The following is a 21233-nucleotide window of genomic DNA, read 5'->3' as shown; positions in this document are numbered from 1 at the left end:
TAATAAAATATCTGAAAGAGGTCTCTTTATGGATGTTAAAAAATGATTGTGTCTTGATAAGATTAGAACGGCTGGAGATAATTCTTACAACAATAATATAGGACACATAGGGTAGAAAAATGAATGATTCAGTGAGACTCTTAAGCAGACTTCAGTGAGATTTAGCAGCAGCAGATTCACCAAAGCCAAATATACATAAGGAAATGAAAAGAATGAGAAGTAGCCTGTGAGGTGATTCAGTACGAAGGCATTGTTACAAAGGTACTGTTGCAATGGCAAGATGCATGCCTCTTGAAGGTTAAAAAACCTTCTTCTACTTTGTTATTGATTTAAAACATGCAACAATGCGTGAAATTTACCTAATCCATTTTCTTCATGAGTATTGGATTGATGTGTGTTCTGTATGTGTGTAAGCACACACGCACAGATGCACATAAATTAAAAAACACACATTTAGTATGGTTTTTCTCTTGGTATGCAAAATAGGTTTTTTGAAAAGAGAAAAGCCAGTTGTTATCATCTGTAATCTTGGTAAATGATTCACTTATAAAAATGTACCACTTTGAAAACAGTACTGAGGAATTACATGAAAACCTAATAAATGAACAATTTATAGTATATTTCTCAAACTGATTATTTGTCTTATCTATATATTAATTGCATTGTACTTGTTTTTTAGGAAAATGTATATCAATTTTATATTTTACATAAATATGTTTTTATTTATATGTTAAACCTTGGTGATCACATTGGGAAAAATTTACTATCCCAAACCATTTGTAATATTTTAAAATTTGTTTTAGATAATACTGCCAGAATCTTAACCAGAAAAAATGGATTCAATAGACATGAAATCAGTACCTATCTCTTGCCTGTGGTGATATCAGACAATGATTACCCAATTCAGAGCAGCACAGGCACACTGACCATTCGAGTGTGTGCTTGTGACAGCCAAGGCAACATGCAATCCTGCAGTGCTGAAGCCCTGCTCCTCCCTGCCGGCCTCAGCACTGGGGCCTTGATCGCCATCCTCCTCTGCATCATCATTCTACTGGGTAAGAAACCTTAAAAACAATGGGAGCATTTTCTAGGCTCTTTAGTATGATTTTGAAGAATTGTGGCTATTAAAATCCCTCCCCCAAAACCACCCCAAATTTTAAGATAGACATAAATTAACTTTGTGATATTCTTTATATTAAAATACTTTATTTGATCGGAATATATACGAATATATAAAGAATTTTTGTTGTAGTAATAGTGGAACTTTACCTAATGGGGCCTAGAATTCATTCCAGTGTGAATCAAAATATTTAGAAAAAACAACAACTGTCTTTCACCACAATGCAGTAAACAAAGGAAAAAGCAAGAACAATGAATGCAGAATGGCATGTGTAGGAGCTTGGAAATTTGAGACACAAAATTCTTGGTAGCCATGCTGAATGTTCTAATGGAATTAAGAGATCTTCGGAACCTAGGTCCAGTGAACAAATGAAAGGAGACGCATCAGTGGCCAGGACCCCAGTTATTTTATTGCTGGCCCATTATTTTCCTCTTGAGTGGTGTAGTAACAGAGTCTGGGGCAATGGTTCTTCTGAAACATCCTCCATACGGGAATCAAGTAGGGGTTGGAAGAGATGGAAGATAATAGTAGGGTCTCAAACCCCAACTCTGTAAGGTGGACATTAATCAATCTCAATAAGACTAAAAGCAACAAAGACAAAGGTTAAGTTGATAACATTTGTTAGAATAACAATTCAAAAACTTGACATATGAGCACTTCCCATCGGCATTCCTGTATTCAATAATTGCTAACTTTTCATATATACAAAATAAAGTTAAATACAACTTTAACATTAGTCTTAAATTTTAAAATAATGCAGACAATAATAAATTGTAGCAATATTTTTATGATTATAAAAAGAGCATGTTTTTATATGAAGTTAAGGCCTGCAACAACAACAAAAATGGATTAAAAATATTTCCACGTTCTTTATTTGACTTAATTATGTCTACTTCATTCTATAGATGTTTCCACTTTTCTACTTTTATCATAGCATTTATGCACTTTCACTGTGTGTTTAAATAACAGAAAGGTAAATTACTTATGGTAGATAAATCATTAAATGAATGAATTGAATAATTCAAGATTAGATTTTTATGTAGTTCAGGAAATGAGAACGTGCGTATTAAAAAATATATTTTATAATTTGTTACTATGAAATGAAATCCAGAACAAAACTTTTCTCTGTACTACAAAAAATGCATACCTCATTTTATTTCATAGAATGAGAATTTGGTATAATTTTATTTTTATAATTTGACTTACCATTAGTACAACAAACATTGAGGAAAAGTTAATAAATGTGCTTTACAATAGTTGAATCCACAATTGCAAATATGAATAATATAAATATTTATTTGGGGGATTTATACTTTAAATCATATAGAAAACTTGTTCTATTAAAATATGTAATTAAAATGAAAGTCTCTAGTAAGAATAATATTAATGGTAGTAAGTTTTTAGTACGTGTTTACTGTGTTTCAGACTCTCATTGGCACTTTGCCATGACAACCTTTTTCACTTGACAAAAAAATGTCTGGCATGTATGGTGTTATTATTTTCATTTTATGCATAATGAAACGGAAAATTCAAAATATTCAGAACATATTCCAAGGTCACACAATTTCTGAGTGGTTGAGCTAAGGTACCTTGCTATTAGTCAGTGTATACAGAGATTCCCAGTGGAATCTGTATTTCCACTTTTATTATGGCTGGATGGAGGCCTCACTATCTTACATATTCACTAAAATCGTATTAAAATAGATTTTTACCTGGTTTACTTTCCCCCCAAACAATGATAATTCATTTTATAGTCATGAGCAGACTGCTTTTAACTGCTTTTGAATTAAAATCAGATTAAGCATTCTCTCTAGTTTTGTTAGTTTAAACCTATTTTTTGTGAGTATTTCTGTTACCCTAATCAAAAAACATTCAAAAAAGAGGGAAATGAACTTGGACTTGGAGCGAATTGTAATAAGTTGTCATTATCCTCAACATTAGAAAGTTTTTGCTGGGCAAGGTCATTTGGTTGATGATAAATAATCTGAGATTTAAAATCTTTACACATTTTCATGTGCATAAATATATGAATTTAGGCAAAATAAAATGGCATATTTTCTTAAAAGCTTGAAGAATACACTTTTTAAAAAGTTCTGCCTATTTGCTTTTTAATTGCTTGGGCAAGAACACTTATCAATAGCTAAAACTTTCTTTTTCATGACATTAAAAAAGTTTATTGTTTGCCTTCTCTCACAGGTTGAAGACAAACTAGTCTGTGCATTCCATGTTAATAAAAAAGAAAACATAACTTAATATCCCTTCATATAATAATGTAATTAATTACATACTCTTTAAATGTGTGTTCTGTGTGTTCTAAGAAGCTAAATAAATACTTGTATCAATATTTCTTCATATATATATATCCAGTAAGAGTCTTCCCATCCTTATCTTATCTAATTGAGTTCACACTTTTTCCCTCAAATCCTTTTAAAGGTTGAGGATCAAAATGTTTGGGAATAATGAGTAAGGGTGAGAAACTCTAATGCAATCAGAAGAATTTGATATTAACTTTCTCTTATCATTTATGCTATTACCACTGTTTTGATTATGAATATTGTCTCTCATTGAAGTGGGAAAATGTTCTTTTTGAGCAGTGCACTTTTCTATTATGAATCTAGCCAAGATTCATACATTTTTGGGGGGAGTTAGTTCAGTATTGCAATTTGAGAAATTTACTCTTTGCCATCTTATAACCTAACAATTTTTTTTGGGGGGGGGGTCTCATGCAAGGTATATATTTTCATGGAAACATTAGGAATTTCTAAATTCATCTAACTCTAACTAATCTGTTTTTTTTCCAATAATTACAGCATTCTTTTAGTAAAGTAACAAAAATATGTAAGTTCATCAGCAAAGCTATTTAACAGAAGTCAGTACTCAGTATGTTGTGAATGATGTTGCTTTTTGCTATTGTGTAAATGCTTTGAAAAAAGTAAGCATCGTGTTGTCCTTTTAAATTGTCTTACTTGAAGCTGAATTCAATTTGTGTAGATTTATACACACAAATTTTATATAGTATCTTATGTTCCTTATTTAATGCAGAAGATAAATATTATCTGTACAATGAGGAACTAAATGGTTCCTAGGAAAATAAAGTGTAAGTCACTATATTTAAGGAATATTTTACGTTGTTTTAAAAATAAATTAGAAACACTGATCTTAAACACCACCCACCCTTGCTAAACCCTTCAGCGTCTCCCCTGACACCTCCCCCAAACTGTGGGAAGCACAAAATTAATCTGAAAGTCTAAGCTGTTATAGAAAGCCTGAGTAACTTAAACTCTTTTATAGTATTTCCACTCGTTATTTATAGTGTTTTGAACGGACGTCTAATGTATCTTCTTGTCTTTTTTCAAGTTATAGTAGTACTGTTTGCAGCTCTGAAAAGACAGCGAAAAAAAGAGCCTCTGATCTTGTCAAAAGAAGATATCAGAGACAACATTGTGAGCTATAACGATGAGGGTGGTGGAGAGGAGGACACCCAGGCCTTTGATATCGGCACCCTGAGGAATCCTGCAGCCATTGAGGAAAAAAAGCTCCGGCGAGATATTATTCCAGAAACGTTATTTATTCCTCGGAGGACTCCTACAGCTCCAGATAACACGGACGTCCGGGATTTCATTAATGAAAGGCTAAAAGAGCATGATCTTGACCCCACCGCACCCCCCTACGACTCACTTGCAACCTATGCCTATGAAGGAAATGATTCCATTGCTGAATCTCTGAGTTCATTAGAATCAGGTACTACTGAAGGAGACCAAAACTACGATTACCTCCGAGAATGGGGCCCTCGGTTTAATAAGCTAGCAGAAATGTATGGTGGTGGGGAAAGTGACAAAGACTCTTAACGTAGGATATATGTTCTGTTCAAACAAGAGAAAGTAACTCTACCCATGCTGTCTCCACTTCACAATATTTGATATTCAGGAGCATTTTCCTGCCAGTCAGCACAATTTTTTTTCTCATTTACTTCTTAATTTGTTCATTAATTACATTAATTCTTTCCTGTAGGATGTCTCATGGAATATATATGACATTTTATTTAATCACTTCCAAGAGCCAAAGCTATGGAAATACAGTGTTGTCCATCTTAGTAAATAAAAGATAATTTCAGAAACATGAACAGGATAGTTCTCCCTTAAGCAACCTCACAAACAAGCCGCTTCTGTTAGGTACATGTCCTGCCCTTGCAAATGAAGCTTTTAAAAAGGTGAAGAAAAATTTTACAGTATATCCTGTTCTGTACATTAAATTAAAAAAACAAAAATGTACATGTGATGTTAGTAGGTGTGATATGCAACCTGGTATACAGACATTTGTGCAATTTCATTTCATCAAATTCTATCTGCTAATGTTTTATATTTATATTTTTGTATTTATTTTTAAAAAAATAAACCAGTTTTTACAACTACTTTGTCTGTAGCTTCTTTTTTTCCCTAGGATGGAAGACTTTCTCCCTGAACTAAATATCTTGATACAAAATTACCTTACATACAGGTAAGAACACAATGTCATTATCATTAGTATTGAAAGTGCTAACCAAATTAATATGATTTAGGCAAGAATTATTTTTCCAGCGAGTCTTGATATGCTATGATATGTGGAAAACTCTTCATATACAAAGTAATAGTCATTTATAAAACACATAAAAATTTGCCATTTAAACAAACTTAAAACATGGCCATCCTTATGCTAAATATCTCAAGACACCAACAATGCAGTAATTTCATTTTGTTTATATTCACTAAAATCATACCTGAAAGAATAAAACATTTTCTCATTTTTTATGGCATTCATGCCATTGACGTTTATAGGGAATAATAGTTCAGGCAGATTTCAGACTAAAAGAATCCTTTAATGGAAAATATACTTACCTCCCGTGGTGACTTTGAAAATGCCTACTGATGACAGTAATAATGCAGAATATTCCATTAAGACACAGCTTTACAATTATATCAAGATTTTAAAACGCATGATACATTTGTTTGTAACAAAGCCTGCTTTCCTGTCAAAGATTCCATAGAAGGCAAGAAAATAAAAATAAAAAAATTGAAACACTGGCAGCTAATTATCCAGAGTTCCTAAGAATCATGAAAGTTAGCTGACACTAACTGATTCCTTATTTCTCAACCTCCACAACAGGATTTATTTATAAAAGGAGCATTTTGTTGGGCATAGACTAGGAAGCCACGTTCCCTGCTGAGTATATCGTAAATAATACCAAAGATCAGTGTGCTCTCTACTTAGTGAAAATGCTGTGCTTTTGGATTGAATCAAGGTGCAATACTGACGTGTCCTTAATGTAGAATTATTTCAATCTTATTAAGTGATGATATTTTCCCAACTTCCAGACTGAAAGGGCCCACATCACTCTGAACACAGATATTTTTGTTTGCATGTTAGCCTGATTATAAAAGGAAAACAATATATATTCTAGTTAAAAATACAGTCGTATGACAAGACTAAACGATAACATGATTTGGCAGATTTCCTCTTTTCCAAGAACCCATTCATTTTTACCGAAGGCTAGGTGTCAAAAGGACAAAGTTTAAGGAACAAAAAAAGTTTGATCATATATGTTTAACTAAAAGGAGAGAACATCCTCAATATCCTAAAAGGACTACTCATTAAAAACAAAATCAGCTAACAATGGAAAAATTTAAAAAGTACAAATTGTAAGAATTTTACATTAGATATGATTCAAAATATATATTTGATTAAAACTAGTTTTAAAATTTATAGCATTGGTTGTTTATATTAATACTTGATGTTAATGATTGGAATTCTTATTTGAATAATTTTAATTTTCCTCATTTATGTAATTTTAAAGTAACATGAACTTGCTATCATTTATTGTGTCATTCTGGTTTTTATTAAATTAAAGGACTAATGTTTAACATCATCCAATCCAGGTTTCCAATAATTCTCTTTAGGGAGATTTAGTAACAGGCTTCTTTGTCACTGTAAGGCCTATATTGCACAGAAATTATTCAGTAACAGCTATCTTATTTGTTGATACAGAAGGTGATAAGTTAAAAATTAATTGGTGATCCTGAAATGTAAAATGTATGCCTATAATTACCTGCTAAAACTCTCTCAGTAATTTCACTGCCATTGTGCTCTCCCAAAGGAGAGAAAGGAATGCCCAATATATAGATTATTCTATGCCCCAAATCTCTTTTATGTGGGGACTGGGACAACCCTCTCTTCGTATCATTCATTTCATTGAACAAATGTGGGCTTTTCTTTTATTCATCTACTTACACCTTCATTCGTCAAATAATTTTTGAGCAGCTATTATAAAATCAAGGGATGTTTTAAACACTAGAGATGTAATAAATCATAGATCATTATATTACTGCATGATTTTTCTATTAAATGAAAAAAATTGCAAAATAGTTAACACAATATCTAACTTTTACCATTATTAATTTTTCTTTTTCTTTTCTTTTCTTTTTTTTTTTTTCTTTGAGACAGGGTCTCACTCTTTCTTTTCCCCATGCTGGAGTGCAATGGTTTGATCACTGCTCACTGCAGCCTCTACCTCCCAAGCTTAAGCAGCCCTCCCACCTTAGCCTCTCAATAGCTGGCACTACAAGTGTATACCATCATCCTTGGCTAATTTTTTATTTTATTTTATTTTATTTTGTCTTATTTTATTTTTTATTTTATTTTATATTCTATAGAGATGAGGTTTCACCATGTTGCCCAGGTTTGTCTCAAACTCCTGGATTCAAGTGATCCACGTACCTCGGCCTCCCAGAATGCTTGGATTACAGGCGTGAGCCACCATGCTATGCCCTATTGTTTACTTTTCTAAACAGCAAATAAACCATTTTGCTCTTCTTTTTTTCATAACTTAAGCTAATAAGAGTTGATTTATAAATCTTTTGATCATTAGAAATGGTGACTAAGTTGATCAATTCTCATTGGTTCTACTATCAACAAAATACGAAAGAAAATGTATGCAATGATACATACATACTCAGGCTGAGATTTCACCATATATGAAGTAGATACTATTACACAACCTCAAGAATTGCAGATATTTATCAGTAGACATGAATTAAGTGTGAGCAATTAGACGTCTAGGATCTTCTAAAATTATAAAACCCTAACATTCAGGTTTTTTAAGATTAAGGATATCTATTTATCTGTATTCATTTATCAATATAGCTACCTAAGTGTCTATATATAATTTATGTCTATGTTATATATACATGTATGTACATATAAAACATGACTGTTAGACTCCATATACTATTCAAGGAAACTATTCCTTTTATTTTTTCATTTACAAATACACATATACACACTCATATTCATATGTCTTTATTAAAAATTTCAGCTTAACATAGCTATTAACAATAAAATAGTGTCACTTTTCAAAATCCCTTACTCATTATAGGTCGTTTGTGCTCAAATAGATGAATGAAAGAATGGAAGGATGGTGTGATCCTTACATTCATTCAGAAGTCGATTACTAATCATGACTGATATTTGCCTCATAGATTTTGGTGAACAGTAAAAGGAGATAAAGTTTATAAATTTGCAAGAACTGAATTATACAGAACATATAATTATTTTGTACAAGGATACAAAAGCAATGACTGAATTATGGACTCTGCCTCTAGTCAATTATGGTATAAGAAATGTTACATATATGCCCCAAAATAACTAAATGGCATACAAAATGAAAAGTAAGAATTTAATAAAAAATGTTGTGGGCTCCTTTAATTCAAGGACAGTCTTTCCTTCCATTATATTCTCAGTGCTCAGTCTCTGGCACGTTATAGTCACTCATAATGCTAAATAATTTCATTACATCTCCCCAACACATTTTCTAAATGTTTCCTATTGTCATTCTCCAATGGCCTCACCATCAATTATGGCTGTTCAAGCTAGACTTGAGGCCTTCTTTATCTTCCATACCTATCACGTCAGTTTTCATTTACTATAGAATCTCCCAAAATAAATATGCTTTAATTTACTGCCATTCTTGTTTTAAAATAAATTTTTCAGTTACAATCATTAAGCACCACTGTGTCAGTTTTTTGCCATACACTTAAAGTAGATTGCCCTTAATCTTTACAATAAGTTCTCCAATGTATTAATATCCCCATAGCATACAAGATTTACAAATAAATAGAGCTGCAAACTACTGTGGTATTAACGTGAAGATGCTCTCCTTGCAGTTGAGCCCTTTATATTTTTCACTGTCAGTGTGACAGTCTTCAAACTTCTCTCCTTGTCTGCAATACAATTTTGCATTTTGCTTACCCATCTATTTTCATAAAAATGAAAGAAAAGAAAAAAAATAAAAGCAAAAACCAAAAAATAGGTTAGTAATCTTCAAAGCAAAAAAAAAAAAGGCATATTTCTCATTGTCAAATACTTAACTGCACCCTCTCACCTAGAGGCTCAATTCCGAAATCCTATTATAGAACAATATTTTCCCTCAAGTTGTTTTTTTCTCTCATTGCTATGAGGATTTGAATTGTCATTTTAAAACTTGTGACCAGATAATTTATTATTTAAGTCTGAATTTCTCCTGAAATTCCAAAGATAACTACTACCTAATAGTAACACCTTATACTTGATATATCCAGAAGAGTACCACACATTTCCCCACCAATACATGCCAAACTTGCTTCACCTGCAATCTGCTTCAGCACTGATTGGCAATGCTTTCCCTCCAGTGAAGTGCTCAGGCCCGTGACTTTCGAGTCGCCCTGTATACTGCTTCTTGCAAATCTCACCTCCAAAAAGATTAGTTTTCTTTTTAAAACACACATTGTCCCACAACTTCTCACCGTTTCTATTTCTGATCGCCACCAATACCTTCTTCCTCAATTATTAGGAACAATTAGCTTCCTAACTCATAGCTTTCCATCCTGCCCCATTTACACTCAACTGTCAGCATTGTGGTCAGAAAAATCTTTTCAAAATAAATTGTCTATGTGGTCATTTCCTTCTTTTAAACTGTTTAGTCATTTGTCATTTTAGTCAGAGTAGAAAACTACCTCCTTATAATGGCCAAAAGCCTCTCCATACCCCTTTGACCTCTCTTCTGCTGTTTTCCCATTTATTAACTTCGCTCTGGTCTCTTTTTGGTACTGTTTTTTCCTGCCTTCCTGTGTTCACACTGACCATTCCTTCTTCCTGTAGCTGGTCTCCCTAGCTAGCTCAAGTTCTTGATCAATTGATCAAATGCTGGTGTTGATTTGAGGTCTATCCTATCCACTCTTAAAACTATAGTATTTCCCTAGTCCCTCCTTTACATTGCATTTGTTTTCTCCTCAATGCTACTTACTTGTTTACACCGATTACTTTTTGTCTCCCTCAGACAGAATGTAAAATTCATGACAGTATGTCATTAATTGTAAATTTGGTCACTATGATGACCAAATACATAGAATGATGTCTATCTGTCTAGGAGCTCAAAAACATTTGTTGGAAGAATTAACAAATACTTTACTATTAAATTTATCACATATTATGCTGAACTTTAGGCAATAAACATATTATATGTATGCAATATTTCTGCCTCCTCCTTTAGTTAGTGAACTACTTAAAGTTATAGGAGGTGCCTTAGTGATTTGTTTGTTCATTTTATGACTGACAGAGCAGGAGGACTGCCATCTTGGACAAGCCCCTGATTCTAAAGTTCACCTTAATAAAAAGCCACCTAAAACCAAAGGGCATCAGCCTAATGGCTAAGGTCAGCATGACCATAAACCACAAATAACATCTCCAACCAAAAACATTCCAAACTCCTCCTCAACCAGAGACATGCTAGCCCTGAGATAACCCCACTCCAGGCCGGAAAGATGCCTGCCCCAAAATAACCTCCCCTCCTCCCAGAGAGATTCCAATCCTGTCAAAAACTTCTCCACACATATAAACATTCCAAGCTTGTGATAAGCCCCCTCACCCTAAAACCAATATATTCTCTTAGTCTGTAAGAGAAAGCGCAACTGACCGAAATCAGCCAGGAGTGCCTCTCAGGTTTTAACTAAAGAAAACCTGTCTTTAACTGCCAGCCGCGTTTCATTTTTCATTCCTCTTTAACTCTTACAAAGACAACTGATTTTTTCCCCAAAATACAACAGTGCTTGCCCACCATTTTAAGAATAAATGATAGCCAGTAATTATTTTGGTTAATTACTCTAAGAAATTAGAAATAAACCTTAAAAGAATCTGAAAAAAAGTGAAGTTACATTGCAAATATATTTGGAACTTTTGCAAAGTGCCAGTGATAATGATAGTAGGATTTAACATAAAATAAGTATTAGTGTCAGAGAATGACTACTCTTTCAGATTCTGTTCTAATGTAGATGAAGTCTGAGTCACAGTTTTGGGGAACTTCATATTCAAAGACTATGAAAAGGGCAAATAAGAGGAATGTCACTCAGGCAAGGTTTTGAGGAAGATTGTTATGAAAGAGAATGATGAAGTGGAACAGATGACCAGAGATTTAAGAACTCAAACTCCCTCTCCAAAATGTTTGTGAAAGAAAATTAGAATCCTAGGACCCCAAACTCCCTATGCCAAAAGCAAAGTTAACCTTGGGAACTGAATCACTGACTTTCTTTTGTTCCCAAACAGATAGCTATAATTCCACATGCTTAAATTGGGTAATATAAAAATTTAATATTAAGTAAAACAGATTTACTGAGCACAAGAGGAATGCATAATTGACTTTTCCTTCTACTCCTTTATTTTCTCATGTAAAAAGTAGACTCCACCAGGTGCGGTGGTCGGCTCACACCTGTATCCCAGCACTTTGGGAGGCTGAGGCGGGTGGCATCACCTGAGGTCAGGAATTTGAGTCCAGCCTGGACAACATGGCGAAACCCCATGTCTACTAAAAATACAAAAATTAGCTGGGCATGGTGGGGCACTCCTGTAATCCCAGCTACTCAGGCGGCTGAGGCAGCAGAATCGCTTGAACCCAGGAAGTGGAGGTCATAGTGAGCCGAGATTGTGCCACTGCACTCCAGCCTGGGTGACAGAGCAAGACTCTATCTCAAAAAAAAAAAAAAAAAAAAGTAGACTCACTGAGTGCTAATTCACTGAGCTTCCCTCCTGCTCACTCTTTCCCCTTTAAATATTGAAATTCTCAAAACTTTCTTCGGAAAAAGTGCTGGTCACAGGTCCTACTGTGACTTGGGTTTCTATTTCCCAGACACATCCTCAACCTTGGCAAGATAAACCTCTAATCAATTGAGATCTGTGTCAGTCACTCTTTCGTTGGGTTACATTTTGGTAGCCATGAAGGCATTCTCTGAAAGGAGTGTGAAGTTTAGACCTCGGTCTACAGCAGCTTCCCTATCAGGGCCCTGCTACTAGCTGGAGCTCTTATTGTCCTGACAGATGACTTGATTTGCTAAAGTGTGGGAGCTTCTCCCTCCAGAGATCCCTGATCTCCCAATAATTTTTGGTTGAGATCTGAGGTTTATTCTGCTGCTGAGCTCCTCTTCTGGGAGTTTTCTGCTTCTGTGATGGCCAAGAGCAGGCTTCCACTTGGGCTCCATCTCCAGGTAAGTGGTTTGGGGCTTCATTTTGGGGTTTGGTAGCTAAAGGTCAAGTTCTGTCAGCTATCATTTCTTTTTATGCTCAGAGATCTTGACTTTATGTAAATTGTGTGACTGCCTTTTTTCTGTTTTTTTGTTTTTTGTTTTTGTTTGTTTGTTTGTTGTTTGTTTGTTTGTTTGTTTGAGACAGAATCTCCCTCTGTCACCCAGGCCGGAGTGCAGTGGTTCAATCTTGGCTTGCTGCAACCTCCGCCTCCTGGGTTCAAACGATTCTCCCGCCTCAGCCTCCCAAGTAGCTGGGACTACAGGCATGCACCACCACATCCGGCTAATTTTTTGTGTATTTTTATTAGAGTTGGAGTTTCACTATGTGGGCCAGGATAGTGTCGAACTCCTGACCTCAGGTGATCCACTCACCTCAGCCTCCCAAAATGCTGGGATTACAGGTGTGAGCCACCCCACTGGGCCTTTTTTTTTCTTTCTTTTGTAAATTTTAGTCTATCTTCCCTTAGATTTAACCACCTCCTGGCTCCCTCTAATGTCAAGTGAAACCCTCATAGCTGTATAAAGTTAAGTTCCACCTCTAAAAAACCCTGGCCAGTTAAGAAAGATTTAAAAAATTGACTACCTGAGGGTTTTTCTTTATATAACGAATCTGCCTTCCCAGCCTTTCTCTCTGTGTGCTACTAACTGAAAGATTATAGAGATCTATTATTCTACATAATTAATGAAAAGATCAAATTTCAAAAGGACATATAATAGTGCCATGGCCAGCCTTAAAAATTCTCTTGGCTAAATTAAGAGAGAGAGAAAAAAATCTGACCTAAACAGTTAAAACTCCCACCATGGCTTAGGTTTGCTATCTGGTCAGGGAACAAGGGCCACTTAACCTTATGGCACAATAGCTAAAATTCAATTCTGCACTTTCACTGCTATGGCAAGGATTTGATTGCTGGTCAGTGAACCAGCATCTCTTAGTTTATTTCTGTGACTTTTGGGGTACCAATTTACTGTTGATCTTTCCCCCTTCCTTGAACAGCCTTTGATTTCCTGCCTTCTTCTATCTGCAGGAAGTTCACAGAGTTTTGGGCCTTTGGAGTGGAAGGTCATCCAAGAAACGAAGACCCCAGAGAGTATGGCCGGACAGAAGTGTGGGTTATACCTCATTTATAGCTAGTGACACTGTCCTTCTCTGAGCTATCTTTTGGGTGATTCTGGATTTTGTAAAAAAACTGCTTGTCACCTCTTTGGAGACACTTTGTGTGTCCAAGGTTAAGTCATATCCTTGGTTAAGGTACTTGGGAGGATACTTTTTGTTAAAGCAGTTCAAAAGCCAGAAATATTAGAAATATGAACTGTTCTATCTAAAATCTAGTAATAAGAAATTTGAAAGGATTTTTAAGAGCTCTATCCTCAAAAGTCGACAATAAAAACTGACATTTAGATTATATATCAATATATATGTAGTTATAAGACCTCTATTTGCTCTCTCTGTGAAGCTCTCAGTCAACTAAATTTCTCTCTTAAACCTCTGCCAGCCACATGAGTTCCCTCTGTTTCCCTATTTATTTATATAGGCCCGTCCTTTCTCTTGCAACCCTTGGTACAACATAAGGGGACAAAAAGAAAAAATTTAACAGCCTGGGACTTCTAACCTCCACGCCAACCCCCTCTCCCTCCTTAAGAAAAAACAGAAAAGGCACTGCAGATTACTTTTTTTAGAGAAATTGCTGTTTTTTTTTTAACTCAGGGAATCCCAAGAGTTGGAATGAACAGAGTCCTTTCAAATCCAAACTTCTGCTTTTTTTTGGATTGCGTAACCTTATCTTTTTGGCTTTTGGGGGTACAAGAAATTACTTTGTATCGTAAAAAATTTGGCTTTGGTGTATATAATGACAAGGGAATGGGCTGATCACAGAGTGGGCTGATTGGCATCTGGTTGCCCACCAGCCTTGGAGGAATTTCCTTGTAGCGAAATTCACTGTGAAACTGTTATGTGGCCCAGTCCCCATGGCGTTTCTTCCTTCGTCGAAATCCAATACTCATGGTGGGCCCTGCCTTGAGTTTAATGTTCCATTTAAAAGATCAAAACTAAATTAAAAGTCCCTATCTAAATAAAATTGGCTTTCTTATAAAATCTGATGATAAATTTAAGTAATTTTATATTACCTTGGCATCCATTTATTAATCTTCCTCTAACACACCCAAAATTCTTTTGAAAAGCTTAAATTCTCTAGTTCTGTCTGTACTATGAGATGTAAATTCTCTATCTTGTTTCACATAGGTGTTGTGTCTTTAGACATGCAAATTTAGGGTGGCCTGGCTAACAATTGACTAGGGCAGTAAAGCAGATAATTGGAAGAACGAATGAAAAAATTCTTATTTAAAACTTGCAAATGAAGAATCTTATAAATCTAGAAAAACTGCTTTTGTTTGTGTGGTCTGTATGTCTATGTGTTTATATGTGTCACGTGTATGTGATGTTTCACAAACATATTTGAAAGTTCTAACTAATTGGCCTAAAGAAAAAGTAAGCACTTAAATCAAATCTCATATCAAAAAATAGAAACTTTAACTCAAATGACTTTAGTAATCATTAGTAAATAAAGACAGTTTTGAAATTATTTGTAAAGTAAAATAGAAAAGTCTTCAAAATTTGCAGTTCAGATACTGTTTCTGTTAGATATTTTAAGGTTTAAAACTTGGCTTCTGTAATACTTTTGATCCTTGCTTAACTTCTCTACAAATTTATGTATTTAGATTTGAGCCTTTGGGGCCACGAAAAAGCCTAGCTTTATGCATTGTCCTTTGTCGTGGGCTTACTCTGAATCTGGTACATATTTAAAATCCCTTACTTCTGGGCATGGTGGTTCATACCTGTAATCCCAGCAGTTTGAGAGGCCGAGACGGGTAGATCACTTGAGATCAGGAGTTCCAGACCAGCCTGGCCAACATGAAGAAACCCTGTCTCTACTTAAAATACAAAAATGAGTCAACCATGGTGGTGTGTACCTGTAATTCCAGCTACTCGGGAGGCTAAGGCACAAGAATAGCTGAAACCCAGGAGGCAGAGGTTGCAATGAGCAGAGATTGCACCACTGGACTCTAGCCTGGATAATGGACTGAGACTCTGTCTCAAAATAAGTAAGTAAGTAAGTAAATAAATAAATCCCCTTGGTTCCTAGGCCTCTCCCTAAAAATAAGAGTTACTAAGAGTTAACATTACAAATAATATATCTTATTAAAACAATTAAATATTAGTGAAACAATTTTATATGTAAAATGTAAAGGAAAATAGAATGTGTTTTTGGTAAAAAGGTAATAGGAAGGCATGGAAACACGTTTTTTGTTAAAGGGAATAATTTTACCTAGTTTTGAGGTTTTACTCAAATTGAAAAAATGAAAAAGAATGATAGCTAAAACTGAATGGATACAGAAAGTTGGAAAAGAGAGAATGTGGAAAACAATTGTAAAACATTATGGTTTATTGAAATCTTACCTTATGGTCAAACTGAGATTAGGTGGATATGTTTATAAGATTTTATTTAAAATTGCCTCTAATGTTAAGAATACACTATGTAAAAATAAAATTTTCTCTTTTGAACAAGATTTTTGTGTAGTATAAACAGATAATAACATATTTTTGTTTACCTTTTGAGTAAACTACAAAAAAGGGGAAAGAAAAAGGAACAGATTAAGTAGGCATTATGCCATCTTTATTTTATCTTATTGTTTGGGAATGAGTCTCCTCCCTATCAGAGTAGAAGATTTTCTTTTTAAAATCTTTAATTATCATTTTGGCTAGTCAAATGACTTACTTTTATAGAGACCTGTTATCCCATTTTGTAATATCAAGAATTTGAAACCTTTGATACTTGAAAAACTCCAAAGTCAAAATTTTATGTCCTAAATTCAGTCTTATTGATCTCATTAACTTTTTTAGATGTTAGGACACTTGAAGTCCAAAAGAGACATGTTCAGATCATTTGATATAATAAAATCATACAGAAAGCATTGTTAAATATGAAACGGTGTTTAACATTTTTGTGTCATCCACAGACAATTATTATTTTATTTTGATCCTTCTCAAAAGCAGTTAATCATCAGTTATAATGCAAAACCGATTTCTCAAAGGAAATTTCTATAAAGGACTCTGATGGGTGTTCTTAAGTGCAGGTGTTGGATAATCTTAGAGATTGTGCCATTAGACTAGGGAAAATACTTCCAGGACTCTCACTGAAGAGCTCATATATTCATAAGAATTACTAACCACTGTCAAGTGGAATGAGTTAATTTTAAGAGACTGAACTAGTAGAGGAATGAAATAATTTTTATGACTTTATTTTTGTTTGAAACATTGCTGATTCTTTTTGTTTTGTTTCTGAGAGTAAATAAAAGTTTTTTTTCTTTTGAGCAAAGTATAGCTTGTAACAATTGAGTAAAGTATACACTTGTGAGTAAATTTTGAAACATATTTCTTTCTATCTATCTGATTTATCCAGAATTTGGAAACTATTTGTGAGTATTCTTAATTTACAGCAATATAGGTATTTGCATAAGTTCAATAAGAATCTGTTTCCTTTTGTAATAGAACACAATTGGAGACACTAGTTATTATACCAAGGCTTTAACCGGAATGACATACTTTAGGTATGAACCAACTGCTTTGTGGAATTGAGATTAACATTACAGGGTTGACAAAATCCCCTTTGAAATACTGTTTTTGTACCTTGTCTATGCAGGTTTTTTACAGGGATCCTGTAAAGAATGTCACATCCTATTAAGAATGCCACTTTCTGACAGGCCCAGGAACCTCAAGTTTTTTAAGGAGGCAAAAAGTTATCCAATTCATGCAGACCAATACTTTCTCTGAAAGATTTTGAAGAAAATGGGGGAAATGTATAAGAAAAATAGAACCTTTGGACTCCAAACTCCCTATGCCAAAACGAAAGTTAAGCTTGGGAACTGAGTCATGCAAAAACTGCCTCCTTTCTGTTCCCAAACAGATAGCTGTAATTTCACATGCTTACTTAATCTTATGCAAAAATGTAGATTTACTGAGCACAAGATGAATGCATAATTCACTTTTCTCTCCACTCTCTTTTTTTTCCGTGTAATATGTAGATTCACTGAGCACAAATTCACTGAGTGCTAATCAGATCCTCACAAGAACATAAGCACTTGCCTCATTGCCTACTCATCCTCCTTTTTTTCCTTCCCCTCCTGTTTACTCTTTTCCCTTTAAATATTGAAGTTCCCAAAACTCTTTTTGGAAAAAGCGCAGGTTGCAGCTCTTACTGTGACTTTTCTTTCTTTTATCCAGATGTACCCTCAACTTTGGCAAAATAAGCCTTTAATGAATTGAGCTCTGTCTCATTCACTTTTTGGTTGACAAGTTCAATTTTTGAGTTTATTTGCTTTGCATATTCTTTGTTTGTTTCAGGCCATAATTATTAAGTATAAAGGGTTAATTTTGTATTTTCCTGATTACTTGTAACAAGTTTCCCTTGCTGATACTGCCATGCTGTTAATTGCAAAGAAAACCTTGAAATGTTCCTAGCCATAAACTTTAGAGACTAACTTGAATCAAGAACCCACAACAAGACCAATAAAATGAGTGGAGAGAATTGAAAACAATGAGCAAAGATGCTTAGAGGCAAAGGTACAAAGATGACTATAAAAAATAAAATATAGACTTTAACTACCACCTCATTTTAAATCAGCAAAACTGTATACAAACTATAGATATAATAATAAAAGTATGTGTGTATATGTACATATATACTCACACACACAATACATATATAATACAGTTTATAATACACAATACAGTTTATAATACACAATACAGTTTATAAATACATATAAACTATGTGTATCCACATATATCTGATATATGTATATATTTGTCAATAGTTACATAAGTATATATCAACAAAACTTTATTTCACTTCATTCCAATGTTTATTATACATATTGCAATTTGTATATGGTTCTCTTGAGAATCTTATTAATTCTTTAAGGCTACAAATATACTACTTACCTCCAAGCTGAACTACTTACACTAATTCATTTTCAGATTTGGCAACTAACTAATCAAACAGAAGGAAAAAGTATACTTCATAAATGTAATTAGGGCAGAAAACAAACAAGGAAAAGGCAAATAAAGATAATTTGTTCAAGCTTATTTTTTGCTCATTAAAAATGAGATTATTTTAAAAGGGTATATAAAGCAGCACAATGTACAATTCTTTATTAAATTAGAGGATTTAGATAGGAAAGGATTAAAGATTAACAAGCACATAATAGAAAACTGGTAGACAGTTGGTTAAAAAAAAATTCCAGCTGTGGAATTCTCCTGAATTTGGAACATGACATTTACAACTCCACAGGAAGAACAGCACAGCAACTCCAGCCCCAGATTTATCTGAAGAAACCTCCCACATGATGTGAAATATTTAGAAGTATATCTGAGACTCTTGCCATGATCTCTGCCTCTCTCCTTTTACAATCAAAAGGATTCTAAATGAGCTTTTTCCAATGTGTAAAATTCATTTCAGTGTTATAGTTTACAGTTTACCTTTGTTTCCATTATTCTCACTACTAATATAGTTTAAGTGAAACTTTCCTAAATGGTTTTGCTAATATCAATGCATCTTTGTAAAAGACTGCCAAATCTAGTCATTGATTCTACTTCTGGCATATCATCCTACACTTCTTTTACAAGAGTAAAACTAGCACTGCAAATAATTATTATTTAACATCTTAACAACATAATTAAATTTTATATTTCTGTTTCTTCAAAGAGTTAAGCTTTATTATAGCTTGAATTTGACTGCATTTTTATTAATGTGAGCATAAAAAATATTCTTCTAGAAGGATATAGGTACTTTAGTAGTTTCAGTGTATGAATGTTACATTCTCTTGGCAAGACTATATAATTTAGAGGAAAGCAGCTCCTTGATTTTTAGGTTACATTTGATTAAACACTTAAACCTGATAAAAAGTAGGTTCCAGCAGTGTATTGGGCACCTAAATAGGTTTCACATAAATATTTGTTGAGTGATTGATTAATCTTGGCATTGCAATACTTTGTTTTCTAATTTTGGCAGTGTGAAAAATGTCAGGTTCCATGCCTTCCCCACCCTCAACCAAAAAGGCAACATGTTTCATTCATATTTGAAAAAACATATTCTAGAAATGTCACAGTAACCTTTTAAGTTGACAGTCTCTGCCTAGGAATTCTTGACAGCAGCTATGCACAATTATGCCAGCTCTATATTGAACTTTCTTACATCATCTTCCTAAAAGTGATAGTCTGAGCAGACAGCATGTAGATGACTAGATAGAAAAAAACACACACTCAATGCACTCTTTTATAAATTTTATTTTTGAGGCAGAAATAAGAAAAAGTGAAACAATTTTTGTGTGTTTTTATTGACAAAGAGAATTATTATTTAAAGATTATCTTATAATGCCTTAACTCCCATATGTATAAAATTGATGCTCCTATAAATTACTAATATAGAATGCTGAACACAATTAATTTTGTACCTTGATATGTTTCTTAGTATACGTCTTTTAATTTTGTTGAAAAAGCAAGAAAAATAAAGATAAACACAAAGGTTCTTCTCCAAATTAATGAAAACATAAGGGACATCATTTTAGTGGTAGATTTAAGTGCATAAGATTCCCCTTATAAACAATACTTTTAATGTTTGAACCTGGAAAACGTATACATGGAATCTTAAGAATGTGTCTAATTTACAATAATGAAAAAGAAGATATAGGTGGTGGTGATTATGATGATGATGATATTGATAGTAACAAAAATTTATTTGCCTATTATGTTTCAGGATTATTCATTGTCTTACATATAGTAACACATTTTATTGTCACAATGAATCTCTGAGGTAAGTACTATTATCATCTCCATTTTACATATGAGGAAATCCAGGAATAGAAACACAATTACCCAAAGTTGTATTCCTATCATAGTGTAGAGCTGGAAAACAAAAGTGAGTCTGTCTAAGGCTAGTTGTCTTATCCATACCTCTATTATTGGTAAGAAAAAAATAATCTTGATCTCTCAGGGGAGCAATGATAGTGAGAAGATTTCTGTCAACAATGTTACAGAGAATAAAATTTTTAGTTTAAAAAGAGGTAGTATTTGAACCACACGTATAGTCCATATTCCTATAATACAGCAGTTACAGCTGACTTTCTATGAATTCTAATAGATGTGGATATAATTTTTACTCAGAATGAATATCAATAAACATACATTGATAAGTACAATTCAAATACAGGGGAATTACTTCTAGTATATTTTTAGATTGATTTACATTGGTAAAAGTGAAAGTCATGAATATAGATATATTTAACATTTTGTTGGTTGAAGAAGTGGAAATGAGTATGTAATGGTGAAAAAAAAACACACCAACAACAAAAATGCTTTTATTTTTCCAGTTTGTTTAATTTAAGCGGTTAACTCTACCTGAAAGTAAGCATCCACTTATCAGAATGCATCTAGAATATTAATAGCAGAAATAATAATATAATAATGCCAATGTGGT

The 21233-nt window shown here is 33.7% G+C and overlaps 1 protein-coding gene across 5 annotated transcripts in view; it reads left to right on the top strand.

Moving 5' to 3' along the window:
* CDH10 (cadherin 10) overlaps positions 1–5531 on the top strand; it is a 157879-nt gene extending 152348 nt beyond the window's left edge. For 3 of the 5 annotated variants that reach the window (NM_001317222.2, NM_006727.5, XM_011513923.3), the window contains 2 exons: positions 804–1055; positions 4478–5531. In NM_001317222.2, coding sequence (NP_001304151.1) covers positions 962–1055; positions 4478–4968 — 585 coding nt within the window. In that variant the 5' untranslated portion in view covers positions 804–961 and the 3' untranslated portion in view covers positions 4969–5531. The remainder of the gene's footprint in view (positions 1–803; positions 1056–4477) is intronic. The other 2 variants (NM_001317224.2, NM_001362460.1) reach the window with 2 other exon arrangements.
* The last annotated feature ends 15702 nt before the right edge of the window (positions 5532–21233 follow it).

This window comes from Homo sapiens, chromosome 5 (assembly GCF_000001405.40).
Source record: "Homo sapiens chromosome 5, GRCh38.p14 Primary Assembly".
Lineage (NCBI taxonomy): Eukaryota > Metazoa > Chordata > Mammalia > Primates > Hominidae > Homo > Homo sapiens.
The sequence above is the reverse complement of the archived record's forward strand: the minus strand, read 5'-3'. Positions and strand labels throughout refer to the sequence as shown.